This window comes from Homo sapiens, chromosome 11, assembly GCF_000001405.40.
Source record: "Homo sapiens chromosome 11, GRCh38.p14 Primary Assembly".
Classification (NCBI taxonomy): domain Eukaryota; kingdom Metazoa; phylum Chordata; class Mammalia; order Primates; family Hominidae; genus Homo; species Homo sapiens.
This window is the reverse complement of record NC_000011.10, coordinates 129,188,926-129,204,798: the sequence shown is the minus strand read 5'-3', so window position 1 is coordinate 129,204,798 and position 15,873 is coordinate 129,188,926. Positions and strand designations below refer to the sequence as shown.

The window sequence follows — 15,873 nt, the reverse complement described above, 5'->3', positions numbered from 1 at the left end:
GTTACTTGAGGATAAGATGTTTGTGATTTGAGAAAAATGCCTGTAATTTTGTAAGTAGTTGAATGGTCTCTAGTACTTTAAGTAAACTAGTCATTGTTGATTCTCATTTTTACTCTTACAACCCTCTCTGAGAAATAGCAGAGGAGCAGTCAGAATAAGATAAGTAGCAAGTTGCTAAAATTACTTCAGTCTCAAACCAACTTCAAAGCAGAGTGAACTATACAGGTAAGGATACCAGTAAGTAAACGGCAGATTGAAAACATTGGATTTATTTCTATTTCTTCAACTAGTTTCGTGGGAGAAACTCTACTGAATGTGTGCAATACCTTGAGCTTTTCAAGCATGAAAACTTAGTACAACTTTTTTTTCTTTTCTTTTTGCATAGCCTTACCCCTATTGATTTCATCCTAGTCTCTTCCTGACCTCTCCCCAGACTTGTCACTGAGGGCGAGTCTACTTAGACCATTTGCTTTCTCCCCTGATTATGCATTCAATTTATATTTAGAGTTTTTATTTGCAGTATCATTAACATTAGGAGGAAGTCCAGTTACAGCGGTGAGCAGGAATATGGTTATATATGTATAGTTTTTATATGTATACAATTTATATGTATGATAAGACCACAATTTTCTAAGGTCCTAAAATGTGTAATATAGCTGATGCCTTCTGTATCTCATGGACTATAGCATATTCAATCAAATTTTTAACTCAGGAAATATTACTTCCTTTAATTCAATCTTATATATATTTTATTTTTATAAATTATGTAATTATATATTTTATATAGTATAAATATATATTATACATACATATGTATATATGTACTTTTATATGTATAATTTATATATGTATAAAATTATATATAATTATGTATGCAATTATATATATATGCAATTTTTTTAGATGGGGGTCTCACTCTGTCGACTGGGCTGGTGTGTAGTGGCACAATCACAGCTCACCACAGCCTAGAACTCCTGGGCTCAAGCCTCTCACCTCAGCCTCCCGAGTAGCTGAGATTACAGGCGTGCACCACCATGCCCAGCTAATTTTTCTTTTTTCTTTCTTTTTTTTTTTTTTTTTGTAGAGACAAGACTTTGTTCAACCTGGTCTTAAACTCCTGGCCTTAAGGGATCCTCCTGCCTCAGCCTCTCAAAGTGCTGGGATTGCAGGGTAAACCACCACACCTGGCTCAACATTATGTTTAAGAATTCTCAACCTTCATTATTTTTACAAGATCTTTTACTAAATCAGTCCCTAATTTTCAACACTATACTTTTACCTTAATTAACTGTAGCCTGTTTTCTTCTTTCAGTCCTATAGATTCCTTTTCAGATAGAGATACTTTTTTAATATCCAGTGTTCATTTAAAAAGATGACTGATTCTGATATGTTTTATTCATGTGTTACTTTACTGGTGTTTTTTGTTATTGTTTACTACTTGCACATGTTGAATAAGTTGCTAGAAAAATTATCACTTGCCTCAGATTTTATTTAGCCAATATATGTAATAGTTTTGATTTACTTTATCTGTAGATTGAAGGCAAAAACGGGTCGTCACTTAGACTGATAAGATGGTTGCTTAGCCAGTGAGAGGGATTTCCTAAGATCACTAGATTCGAATGTATCTGATAAAGCAAGTGTTTTTGTTATTTGTTGAGTCTGCCAGTGGAATTCTGAAGTTGATACAACTTGCTTGTTCCGTGTGCCCATAGCTAGGTAGGTGTATGAATTGTTCTCTCTAGCCTCTGACTACTTGAATTTCATCCTTGCGCAGGGGCGGTGCTAATCTCTGTATTGTTCCAATTTTAGTATATGTACTGCTGAAGCAAGCACTGCTTTGATTTCATTCAGTAGAATCTGCTACGCTGGTAGCGTGTTTTTCTTTTCTTTTCTTTTTTTTATTTTCCCCCCCTTGCACAAGAGCACTTTGAGCTCTTTAGTGTTAGAACAAAGTATTTCTGAGTTGGCTTTTGTGACCTTTTTGAGAAAGGAAGCAATGAGACAAAGTGATGTGGCGTGTGAATTCAACAGTAAATATTGGGTTGGTGCAATCCTTGTACTTGTAGATATTGTGGTTATTGTATCTTTTTATTAATGTGGTTTAAATACCATTGATTTTGGTTCTTCATAGGTTAGGATGGGAAACATTTAGAAGGGAAATTGACTTAATTCCTGATATATAAATTTATTTCATGATTCTGAGATCTTGATATGAAAAGAATCTGTTTAAGTTTTCTTATTTATATCGCATACATGATTTTACTTCTTGTCTTTGCTTTTTTTCATATTCTATTTTTGATTTATCTTGGTCAGTATAAGAATATTGCCTTCTTTATGCACATTGCCTTCATTTATTTTTGAACTTATATTTCCTATTCCTGGGACCTAGATTTTTCAGTCGTTCAATCCTATGTATTTATTCAGTAAACATTTTCATTGACTTCTGTGGTATACAGGGTAGAAAAACAGCATCCACCTACTCAAGAGAAGAAACTGTAGAGTGGATCTTTTAACTCATGCTGTTAACTTCTTTAAAACTAAAAAGTTAAACAGTGAATACATCTTTATGTTAGAAAGTTAAAAATATGTAAATAAGTTTAAGGAAGTAAAAATCATCTGCATTATCTTTGTTATTTAGTTTTCCAAACTTTCTTCTTTGCATGTGTGTATTAAAAATACTATTTTTATTACCAGTATATATATGTGTGTATATGTATATGTATATGTACTTGTATATATATATGTATATGTGTGTATATATACACACACATATATATATAAATAAATAGAGACACAGACAGACAGACAGACAGACAGAGACAGGCTCTTGCTCTGTTGCCCAGGCTGGAGTGCAGTGGCATGATTGTAGCTCACTGTAGCCTCGAACTCCTGTGCTCAAGCGATCCTCCCACTTCAGCTTCCTGAGTAGCTGGGTCTACAGATGTGCATCACAATGCTTGGCTAATTTTTAAAGTTTTTTTATAGAGATGGAGTCTTGCTCTGTTGCTCTGGTTGGTTTTCAACTCCTGGCCTCAAGGGATCTTCCTGCCTTGGCCTCCCAAAGTACTGGAATTACAGGTGTGAGCCACTGCACCTGGCTGTGTTTTTGTTTTTTTTGTTTTCATGTAACCACTACATGTAAATGTTGTATTTTAGTGGCTGTTTACTTTTACTAGAAAAATCATCACTGGCCTCAGATTTTATTTAACAATTATATACAGTAGTTTTGATTTATCCGTAGATATAAATAGTAGAATCACACTCTGTAGGGTTTTCTGATTATTTTTTTGGTTACTGATATCAGGCTCTAGAACAGTGGTTAAAAATTGTCTGGAGGGGATCTAGTTAGGTATACCGTTATAGTATTTTTCTACAATATTTACATGAGATGATGATTATAGAATGTATAATAATGAAAAGTTAGTGATCCAGTGAAACCATAGGCTGAGATTATGTATTTGTTGAAAGCAGTTTTCTACATCGATAAACATTACATACTTTTCAAACTTGAATACCAGAAAGTATACTTATAATCTTTGCTTATTACAGTGAAAGATACAGGACTCAAAAACAGAAGACCATGTCAGTTGAATTTTGAGAGTTCTTATTCATACGGTTATGAAATTTCCACTTAATATCCCTTATTAACACTGGAAATGACATGTTGAATTGTCTTATGATCTGATTTTATATGTTCTTTGTAATCCTTGTATTAATGTGATGAAGGAAGAATATGGGTTTCTGTTGTAGTTGTTAATTTTCCATACTTCACATTCATGGAAATAATTCAGATAATTAGAAAATAACTTACTGGCTTAATAGGGACTTTTTTCTTATTTTTTAGATTAGCACTCTCTTTTAAATAATAATAAAAATTACAGAGTGATTATATTTTTTAAAAGCCAGAGATTTACAGATTAAGATTTTTTTTCAATTTTTCTATAATCACAGTAATGAAAACATTTTATGGTTCAGGGATGATAATGATGACAATGGCTATAATTTATTGAGGACTTTGTACTGTATACTACTATAGTTTCATTATATGCATTGTTTCTATTTTATACATTAACATCATAAAGGTATTATTTTTTCTATTTTAGAGATTACGAAACTGAGACTCAATTTAAGTTGCTTGTTGTATTAGTCCATTTTCATGCTGCTGATAAAGACATACCCGAGACTGGGTAATTTATAAAGAAAAAGAGGTTTAATGGACTCACAGTTCTATGTGGCTCGGGAGGCCTCACAATCTTGGTGGAAGATGAAAGGCATGTCTTATGTGGGAGCAGACAAGAGAAAGAATGAGAACCAAGTGAAAGTGGTTTCCCCTTGTAAAACCATCAGATCTTTTGAGACTTACTTACTACCATGAGAAAAGTATGGGGGAACCACCCCCATGATTCAGTTATCACCCACTGGGTCCCTCCCACAACGTGTGGGAACTATGGGAGTTACAATACAAGATGAGATTTGGGTGGGGACACAGCCAAACCATATCATTCTGTCCCTGGCCCCTCCCACATCTTGTATCCTTACATTTCAAACCAGTCATGTCCCCCAATGTCTTAACTCATTTCATCATTAACTCAAAAGTCCACAGTCCAGAGTCTCATTTGAGATGAGGCAAGTCCCTTCTGCCTATGAACCTGTAAAATCAAAAGAAGGTTAGTTACCTCCTAGATACAATGGGGGGTACAGGCATTGGGTAAATACAGCTGTTCCAAATGGGAAAAATTGGCCAAACCAAAGGGGCTACAGGGCCCATGTAAGTCCAAAATCCAGTGGGGCAGTCAAATCTTAAAGCTCCAAAATGATCTCCTTTGACACCATGTCTCACACCCAGGTCACACTGATGCAAGAGGTCGGTTCCCATGGTCTTGGGCAGCTCTGCCCCTTTAGCTTTGCAGGGTACAACCTCCCTCCTGGCTGCTTTCACAGGCTGGCATTGAGTGTCTGCAGCTTTTCCAGGCTCACAGTGCAAGCAGTTGGTGGATCTGCCATTCTGGGGTCTGGAGGACGGTGGTCCTCTTCTCACAGCTCCACTAGGCAGTGCCCAGTGGGGGCTCTGTGTGGGGGCTTCAACCCCACATTTTCCTTCTGCACTGCCCTGGCAGAGGTTTTCAGGAGGGCCCCGCCCCTGCAGCAGATTTCTGCCTGGACATCTAGGTGTTTTCATACATCCTCTGAAATCTAGGTAGAGGTTCCCAAACCTCAGTTCTTAACTTTTGTGCACCTGCAGGCTCAACACCTTGTGGAAGCTGGCAAGGATTGGGGCTTGCACCCTCTGAAGCCATGGCCCAAACTGTATCTTGGCCCCTTTTAGCCATAGCTGGAGCAGCTGGGGCACAGGGCACCAAGTCCCTAGGCTGCACACAGCAGGGGGCCCTGGGCCTGGCCCATGAAACCATTTTTCTTCCTAGGCCTCTGGGCCTGTGATGGGAAGGACTGCCACAAAGATCTCTGACATGACCTGGAGACATTTTCCCCATTGTCTTGGTGATTAACATTAGGCTCCTTGTTACTTTACAAATTTCTGCAGCTGATTTGACTTTCTCCTTGGAAAATGGGTTTTTCTTTTCTGTTGCATGGTCAGGCTGCAAATTTTCTGAACTTTTATTCTCTGTTTCCCTTATAAAACTGAATGCTTTTTAACAGCAACCCAGTCACATCTTGAATGCTTTGCTACTTAGAAATTTCTTCTGCCAGATACCCTAAATCATCTCCCTCAAGTTCAAAGTTCCACAAATCTCTAGGGCAGGGGCAAAATGCCACCAGTCTCTTTGCTAAAACATAGCAAGGGTCACCTTTACTCTGGTTCCCAACAAGTTCCTCATCTCCATCTGAGACCACTTCAGCCTGGATTTCATTGTCCATGTCATTATCAGCATTTTGGTCAAAGCCATTCAACAAGTCTCTAGGAAGTTCCAAACTTTCCCACATTTTTCTTTCTTCTTCTGAGTCCTCCAAACTGTTTCAGCCTCTGCTTGTTAACCAGTTCCAAAGTTGCTTCCACATTTTCGGGTATCTTTGCAGCAGTGCCCCACACTACTGGTACCAGTTTACTGTATTAGTCTGTTTTCACACTGCTGATAAAGACATACATGAAACTGGGTAATCTATAAAGGAAAGAGGTTTAATTGACTCACAGTTCCACATGCATGGGGAGGCCTCAAAATCACGGCAGAAGATGAAGGAAGACCAAAGGGACATCTTACATGGCAGCCAGCAAAGAGAGAATAAGAGCCAAGCGACAGGGGTGCCCCTTATAAAACCATCAGATCTCGTGAGACTTATTCACTAGCATGAGAACAGTTTAAGAGAAACCACCCCCATGATTCAGTTGTCTCCTACCAGGTCCTTCCCACCACACATGGGAATTATGGGAGCTACAATTCAAGATGAAATTTGGGTGGGGACACAGCCAAACCTTATCACTTGTCTAAGACCACACTATTTGTAAATGACATAGTTGATATTTGAGTCTGAGCTTGTTTGACTTCAAAATACAGTACCTCCATTTCTATTTTTTCTGGTTTTATAAGAACAGCTTTTTGAAAGTGATTTTTATTCATATATCCTTGCAATGGTGATGATGTATTTTAAGATAGCCATTTTAACTTTTTTATAGAAATATCATTTAGCTTCTATGAACAGTTGAAAGTTAGATCTCCCTTTGAATACATGTGTTTAGTGAAGCAAAATCTGCTCTAACATGAAATTGTCAGTTTTCTATTCAAGTAGACCTTTTCTGTTATGTTTAAAGTTACCTGTAGAGAATCATATTAAATTAACTGGATTCTTTATTTTTGATATTTTCATGAAATAAAGTTGCCATAGTATGCATAAGAATTGTTTCCTCTTTAGATACCATTGTGAATTAAACCAAATGTCAATGTATATATAATGATCCAGAATACATCAGTGTTCCATAATAAAGAAGGAAAGAGTTGTTTTTTCAAAGTTAATTATTTCAGTGGAGGAAACGCCTACAAAAATGATTGTTATAAAAAAATCTAAATTTTGAATGAATGTATAGATAGTATAAAAATGAATAATGATGAATGACATTTTTACATTATATATATTGTGCTCCATACATTTGGAGGAAAATCTTCAGTCATTGGAAATATTTTAGAAGGATTCTTGCTTAATTTTTCTTTCTGATACAATTATATGATACATACATATATATTACACAGAGCACACATTATTCACATTTAGAATACAAAATTTTCTGAGAAATTTTATATTTATATTTATATTCATATTCATGAAGCAGTCTGTGGACAAAGCTTGGTGCCCAATTAAGGAGACATTTATTGACCCCTTGGCTATGTGCCATGCACTGTATTGAACAGTTTTGAAAAAAACAATTATTATGATGGGAGAACAGGAACAACGATGTCAGAGCATCAAGATCTTGGTTCTACTGCTTTGCTATTGTTTTGCTGTGTGATATCCTGTCCATACCCCTCCCCTGATAGTGAACCCAAATGTATACTGCATTCAGCCATGTAGATAACGGGTATTGGATATAGAATTAGATGTAGGTCAGCATTTCAGCAGTATCATGGCCCATCCCCCAAAAAGGAGAAAATAAAAAACTGTGAGATCAGAGACGTCTAGGCTAATAAGTGGAATGTGGACCAAAATGCAAACCATATAGTCTTCCCACAGAAGTAACATTTCATATGGTGTGGTTAGGTTTGGATTTTTGAAAAGTATTTTTATTTTTTTTTGAGATGGAGTCTTGCTCTGTCACCCAGGCTGAAGTGCAGTGGCGCGCTCTTGGCTCATTGCAACCTCTCCCTCCCAGGCTGAAGCTATTCTCCTGCCTCAGCCTACCAAGTAGCTGGGATTACATGCATGCATCACCAAGCCAGGTTAATTTTTATATTTTTAGTAGAGACGGGTTTTCACCGTGTTGGACAGGCTGGTCTCGAACTCCAGACCTCAGGTGATCTCCCTGCCTTGGCCTCTCAAGTGCTAGGATTACAGGCATCAGCTACTGATCCTGGCCTGAAAAGTATTTTTAATGCAAGTTTATGAACTGGATAATCCTGGAGAAATTATGATGCTAAGTCTCAGTTTCTTCACCTGTAATATGATGGCTCCTGCCTCATGAGGTGGTTGGGAGAATTATATAATTCGTTATGTTTGGGCCTTAATCCAATGCTTGGCATATAGAGTCAGTGCTCAGCATATGCAGTCATCAGTTGGTATCCATGGGGAAATCGTTTCCAGGACACCCTGTGGATACCAACATCTGTAGATACTCAAGTCACTTATATAAAATGTTGTAGTATTTACGTATTACCTATGCACATCTTCTCATACTTTAAATCATCTCTAGATCACTTATAATAACTATCAATGTAAATGTTATGTAAATAGTTGGCATACAGTATTGTTTAGGGAATAATGACAAGAAGAAGCCTGTACATGTTCAATACAGATAGGACCATCCCTCTTTTTTCCCTGAGTATTTTTGATTCAACCAAGAGGTTGAATTCATGGATGCAGAACCCATGCATACGGAACCTGTGGGCCAACTCTGTTGCTGTGATTATTACTACTTACCACTGCTACTAGGAAAGTCAGCACTTTTAACAATGTTTCTCTTCGAAAAAATTCATTCTGACTTGCAGTGTTTAAATTGTTGCTGTAAGAATGCTTCTCTCTTTGCTGCTGTGGGATTAGCTATTTCCCTTCCCCTCAGGTTCCCTACCTCTTGGAGGTAGAAGATGAGAACCAGCTAGTTCGAAATTACTGCTGGTGACTCCTGTGGTTTCAGTCAAAGACTTCAGCTCCATAAAAGCTTGTTGGGAAAGTGAAGGCTGATCAGGGTTTAAACAAATCAGGAAGAAAAGGAGTTAAAACCACCTTGTGGTCTTCAGCAGTATCTAGTCTCTCTCACACACTGGTAGCCAGAGTGATGGACTCGGCTGTGTTCCATCCCTGCCCCCGCTGTTAACCATCACCTGTTGATTCCGCTGGATTTTCATTTACTACTGGAGAAGGGAACAGAAAACAGAAACACATGTAGGTTTTGAATTTAAAAACTTTTTTTCCTTTTTTTTTGAGACGGAGGTTCGCTCTTGTCTTCCAGGCTGGAGCGCAATGGCGTGATCTCGGCTCACAGCAACCTCCAGCCGAGGCGGGTGGATCACTTGAGGTCAGGAGTTTGTGACCACCCTGGCCAACATGGTGAAACCTCTTCTCTACTAAAAATAAAAAATTAGGCGGGTGTGGTGGCGGGTGCCTGTAATCCCAGCTACTCGGGAAGCTGAGGCAGGAAAAACATTTTTAAAAAACTTGTGATGGCAGAGTCAAAACAGAACAAGCCTCGGAAGATGTGCACATTTAACTGTCCTTCAGTATTCTGTGTAAAAATACCACTCACAGTTCACGTTTTCACTTTTGAAAGGCTCGAAGTGAGGGAAATCAACCATCATAATGAAAGAACAAAAGAATGATTAAAAGAAAAGGTGAATAGGATTCATGAAAACGCTTTGAGGCCGGGCACAGTAGCTCATACCTGTAATCCCAGCACTTTGGGAGGCAGAGGCAGGCAGATCACTTGAGATCAGGAGTTCGAGACCAGCCTGGCCAACATGGTGAAACCCCATCTCTACTAAAAATACAACAACAACAACAAAAATTAGCAGGTGTCGTGGCACACACTTATAATCCCAGCTGCTTGGGAGGCTGAGGCAGGAGGATTGCCTGAACTGGGAGGTGGAGGTTGCAGTGAGTCGAGATCGTGCCACTGCACTCCAGCCTAGGTGACAGAACAAGACCCTGTTTCAACAAACAAACAAAACAAAACAAAACAACCCCCCCCCCCACAAAAAAACAACACTTTGAAGGAGTTAGAGTTGTTTAGAAAAAAAAGAACTAGATTCTTAATGAAATAATATTTAAAAATCCAATTCTTTACTGAAGGTCATGAAAGATTCTATTTAAAATTAGTTAATATTTTGGTAAGGATTATATGTGCATGACATAGTGAAAAACTATCTTTCTTTCTTCTTTTTTTTTTGAGACGGAGTTTCACTCTTGTTGCCCAGGCTGGAGTGCAATGGCGTGATCTCGGCTCACTGCAACAATCTCCACCTCCCGGGTTCAAGCGTGTCTTTCTTTTATTCCTCTTCTCCAGCTGTCTGTTTTCCTCCGTGGAGACAACTACTGGTACTAGTACTGATCCTCTTCTTCCATAGATAGTCTGCATTTGTTTCTCCTAACTCCTCATTGAAAACACAGATGGCAGCATAGCATACTGCACATACTGCCCTATACTTTTACCCCTTTCTTCTTTGCCTTAACAGTATTCCTTAGGCTTTGTTCCGTATTGTGACCTGTAGGGCTGCCTTGTTTTCTCATATACTCACTGTGTAGCATTCCATTCTATGGGTATTCTGTAATTTGCCTAGTTTTCTATTCCTCAGGAAGTTAGGTTGTTTTTGCTATCCTATTTTGCTACTATAATGTCTACCAGAATGAATGTTCCTGTTTGCCTCTTACTTCTACTTGTGAAAGTGAGATAATTTCCTAAAAGAGAAATTGCTGGGCCAAAAAGATGTGCATTTTGAATTTTGGTAGATTTTGCTAAATTGCCCTGAACACAGGTTGTACCAGTTTAAACTCCCACTGACAGGCATGTTTCTTTTCCCATGTCCTCTTTCAGTTTGTTAAAACCTTTTAAAAGCTTTGCCTATGTGATAGATTTTTTAAAAGTCATCTTATTATGTATTGTTTTACATTTCTGTTATCAGTGAAGTTACTTTTAACATCTTTTAAGTTTCTTTTATGTTTATCTCTGAGTATTATATTTTTGCTCTTTGCCTATTTATCTTTTGAGCTCTTGGGTCTTAGAAGTTTTTAAGAACTTTTTATATATTAAATAAATTAACCCTTTGTGATATGTTTCAAATATTTTTTTCTCAACTTGTTTGCATTTTGACTTTGCTTATAATGTTGTTCTGTTGTTTTTGGTTTAAAAAATTTTTTTTGAAAAGTTTTTAAAATTTATATATGTATTATATGTATTATATAATATATATTATATATAATATATAATATATAATATATATTATATATTATATAATATATATTATATATTATATATAATATATATTGTATATGTATTATATAACATATATTATATATATTATATAACATATATTATATATTATATATAACATATATTATATAATATATATATATTATATATAATATATATATATTATATATAATATATATATTATATGCTCTAGGGACCTGCATATATATATATTTTTTTTTTTTTTTTTTTGAGACAGGGTCTTGCTGTGTTGCCCAGGCTGGAGTGCAGTGGCGTGATTATGGCTCACAACAGCCTTGAACTCCCAGGCTCAGGCGATCCTCCCACCTCAGCCTGTTGAGTAGCTGGGACTACAGGGTGCACCACCACACTTGGCTGTTTCCCGCCCCCCCCCCCCCCCCCCCATAAAGATGAGGTCTCGCTAAGTTGCCCAGGTTGGTCTTGAACTCTTGAGCTCAAGTGATGCATCCACCTCAGCCTCTCAAAGTGTTGGGATTACAGGCGTGAGCCACTGTGCTTGGCTCTTTATTTTTCAAATATGAAAATTCAAGAAGACTTCAGTAGATGTCTTCTTAATTTTTGATTAAATCAGATACAGTGGAAAGTCAGGGCTTTGCAGTTTGTTGCTGCTTGGTAAAAGACAAATAGCCATGAATATCCAGCAGGTCAGTAGTTTCTGTCAACATGGCTCTTTTCTAAGTAACAGTTGTGTTGTTGACAGTCATAGATGCTATACCTTTCACTCATTTCCCAGCAAGTCATTTTATTGCCACCATGACTGTTTGCAGTTTAAATGTGTAAAACTTTGCATGCTTTTATTTGATGTGATTGTCAGCATCTTTGAACTTGGGACACTTAAACTTTTTTCTTTCAAGGACTGTGGACAAGCCCAGCTTTTATGTCTCACTCTGGATACTTGAGCAGAGATGCATATGGCAGTCCTTACTGAGAGGAAGGAAAGATGGGTGTAATATTGGAAGGCATGAACCTAGGCAGGTCCCTAGAGCATACTTATCTTCTCTACTTATTGTGAGCCTCCTTAACTGTGAGATCTATAACTGTGCTTCTCATGTGCTTGGCCAGTGGATGGTGTTATTCTTTCTAGTTTTCTATTTACCTTTCTGGAGTCCGAGATCAAAAAAGGATACAAATAAAGCCTGCATTTTGAAAATACCTATTTTTAACTTATTAAGTGGAAACTTTGAGAAGAGTCATTATTACAGAATAATTAGTAAAAAATCACCTTCATTTAGATTCTGCTTTTGGTTATGTAGGTCACGCAGCCTAAGGCAGTGGGAGGGTCTAGGTGTCACCAGTATGGCAGTCAGACGCAGTGACTGTGCTGCCTGTGATTTCCTGTCTGTACCCTGACTGTAATTAAACCAGCACCAGTACCTGTCACTAGGGCACCAGACACACATCTGAGTATACATGAGTAGAGCTGAACAACCTGAATGTTGGTGCTTTTTATTCCATGCCTGGAGGTTTAGTTTTTTTTGTTTTTTAAGTACAAGATGGAGACTGAAAGTGAGAGTAGCACTTTAGGGGATGACAGTGTCTTCTGGTTGGAGTCTGAAGTTATAATCCAGGTGACTGACTGTGAAGAGGAAGAAAGGGAAGAGAAGTTCAGGTGATTATGGAATTCACAGTTCCTTTGTCCTGTCCACTCCCTACCCCCACCCGCACCCCTTTTTCTTCTCTGCATTTCGGTCTTTTTTCCAATAAGACTTTCTGTTTTCTGGGGGAAGGTTTGGAGCTCAAGGGAGCAGGTTTTGAGTTGTATATAGCACTCCTCATTCCACAACTTGCCCTGAACTTGTAAAATGCATTTTAAAGGACTTGTTAGAACGCCAGGAGGAGAAGGTGTTAGACAGGTTTTGTAGTAGCCTTTCAGGAATTTCAAGTAGACACTCATAATGAACTACTACCCCTTCCTGTATCTGATTTGTATCAAATAGATTTGATCTGAATTTGTATCTAATAGATTTTTCTTCCTCTTTTTCTTGGAATGTGGTGTGTGTGTGTGTGTGTGTGTGTGTGTGCGTGCCTGCCTGCCTGCCTGCTTTGTTTGCCTTATGCATGGGTATGAAAAATTCCGATTAAGTACAGATTGGTTATTTTGTGGCTTTGATCTTTACCCTTGTCTCTGATCTTGTATCTCATGCCCCCTTTCCCCCAAATCTCTCTTGGTTTTTGAATCTCTGGTAGTATTAGTAACTTCATAATTGAAGTTTTTAGAGGATGCCTCCTGATGAAGCAGCTCTCAGTTTAGTGTCTGTGGTGAAGAAAGATGTCTTAACCAGTTTGTGAAAACAGAACCAATGTTTCATTCATTCTGTTGTACTGTTGCAAATTTTAGGGGGCTTTATTCTGGCTTTTCTTTTTCTTTCAGAGTTAGCGATGTAATACCTTTGAGTATCACAAAAATCTCTTGATGAAGTTTGAAGTTTGTTGCTGCATATTATCACTGCCACTCACATGTGCAATTAAACATCTTTTATAAGTTTACCTATGAGAACTTGGATAGGTGAATATACTGTTTTCATCAGATACTGTCTTTGTGTTTAATGCTGAAAAAGAGTTTCTCCTTTTCTCGAGTCAAAGGATTTCTTTATCCACAAATTTTATTTTTTAAAGTCTAGGTTAAATGATGGAAGGGATTGAATATTGGGAACTCTTGATAACCCTCACTAAATTTTTTACTCTGGGGTTCAAATAAATGAGAAGTATATTTAAAATTTTAAAAGAATAATTTTCAGAGTATAAAAATGAATTATTAGCATATGATTATTTTTTGTCTGAACTTTTGTCTCATTTTCCCATAATTTTATCTAGCCTTTCAAATTTGAGTAAGTCCCTTCCCTTCCAAGGTATGCTAATTGTTAGTCACATGTTCTGCTTTTTAATATGGTTTGTGTCTTGCTAACAATGAGTAGGACTGAAGTATTTGTTTTGCTTGTAATAAAACTTTTTGACCTGGTATTCAAATTATGGAAGTTATTTGGGTATTTGTCAAAGGAAGAAACAACTTGGAACTTATTTCATTGTTGTTTTTATAACAGATTTGGTACTGTAATCCTAGATTTACTTGTAAGGCAGTGGGCGTCTCTCTGGGATTTTCTTTTGACAGTTAAAAGCAAATTTGTGTAAGGATGAGCTCTTCTTTTCCTTGGGAGTATGTGACAGCATTTTCACTCTGAGAAACTGAGCTAGTGATGTGTTGTTTAAGGAAACTATGATACCATAGGGCATTTCTCTTCTGTTTATATTTCCTATCTGAATAGCACCATGGCTCTCCTAAATCAATTATATCTTTGTGATTTGATCTGATTTTATTTACAAATGTAACAAAGAGGTCTGGGCAAGGCCCAATTTCATGTAGTGTCTCTCACGCATTCAGCAGTGAGGCATGAGGAAATGTGGCAGCAGAGTGGTTTCACAACCTCGTGGTGGTGTTCCTGCCGAGATGCCCTACAGGAAAATGGAGGCATGGGTGTGGAAGGGGAAGGGTCGGATAGGAGTTGCAGCTGTAACCTTGGGAGGACCAAATAGTAGACTCAGTGTGGTATGACAGTTGTTTTTGTAAAATCAATGTAATAATTTTAAAAATGTCTTACTGTGTTTTTATAAAAATCTCTGCAAATACATGTGACATCAAGCTGTCGTATTGGTTACATTTCCATTCACATACACACACATAGCTGAGATGAGGGCAAAAGATTGTGCACTTTTCTTTTTCCCTGAATAGCTTGTAAACTACATTTTAAATGCACTCTTAAAAGCCTGCTCTTGTGTAACTTAAGGCACCATGGCTAAGAGAGTAAAGTCATACCACACCTAGAATGTAGGCTTCTGGTGCTTCCAGGTGCCATCTGCTTTAGGAGGAAGTAGTCTCAGAGACAAGTTAATGTTTGTCCAGTAGCTTTTGAAATAGCATTTATTTTTGGACTCAGTTGGAGGAAAGGATCCTTTTTATTAACACTCTTTCACTATGGGAAGTTGCCGGTCTCCTTCATGGTGGTAGTTTAAATTTGTCTGCCATTGACTCACAGATCTTTCATTTTCTGATTTCTTATTTGTAGTCGGTATTATTACCTACCTTGTCACTGTGGTAAAATAGTTATTAGACTAGAATATTTAGTCCTTAGAATAAAATAGTTCCTAGAGATGATTAGAAAAATCCATCCCTGGATAAGAAGGAGGAATATAAGGCAGAAAAGGAAAAACATAAATGTTTTAATTCTATCAAGAAAGAAAAACTTTACTTAGAAATTGTTATATGTAATGTACTAGGCCATATATATGCTTTATACAGTGTATCAGTTAACTGCTTATCACTCCTATAAAGCAGGTATCATTTTTCCTATTTCCTCGGTGAGGAATTTATGGCTCAGAGAGTCACACAGCCCACATTTGTCATGGTGGAGCAAAATTTTGCAAGTGGTAGCACAAAAATTTGAACCCAGATGTAACTGACTTTGAAAGTGAAGACTTTAATGAAAGATTTTTGGGGCTATCTTCTGCTAAATGCTATTTTCTGCTAAGTGATAACTTATAAGAGGCTACAGCTGATATCTCAAGTTTTGAAATTCCTTTTTTTTGAGGAGGTTATGAGCATCAATGACATATAGATTATGTGACCATCATAAAAATGAAGTAATGAACACAATAATGTGACTTTTAAAAAATGTGACCTCTAGGACACCTAGGAATCATGAAAGGTTCTAGTTCTTTGGCATTTGAAGGTAGAAATGTTTATCATATGATTTTGTTTAGACTTCCCTAAT

At 37.3% G+C, this 15,873-nt stretch overlaps 1 protein-coding gene and 1 pseudogene across 10 annotated transcripts in view; one reads left to right on the top strand and one right to left on the bottom strand.

Annotated features, from left to right (window-relative positions):
* ARHGAP32 (Rho GTPase activating protein 32) overlaps positions 1 to 15,873 on the top strand; it is a 314,573-nt gene that overhangs the window by 74,834 nt on the left and 223,866 nt on the right. For 3 of the 10 annotated variants that reach the window (NM_001142685.2, NM_001378024.1, XM_017018597.3), the window contains exon 1: positions 12,474 to 12,716. The exons of the other annotated variants lie outside the window; for them this stretch is intronic. In NM_001142685.2, coding sequence (NP_001136157.1) covers positions 12,601 to 12,716 — 116 coding nt within the window. In that variant the 5' untranslated portion in view covers positions 12,474 to 12,600. Of the gene's footprint in view, positions 1 to 12,473; positions 12,717 to 15,873 lie in introns of those variants that run through there. 10 annotated transcript variants of the gene reach the window in all.
* RNU6-874P (RNA, U6 small nuclear 874, pseudogene) lies at positions 1,729 to 1,833 on the bottom strand (annotated as a pseudogene).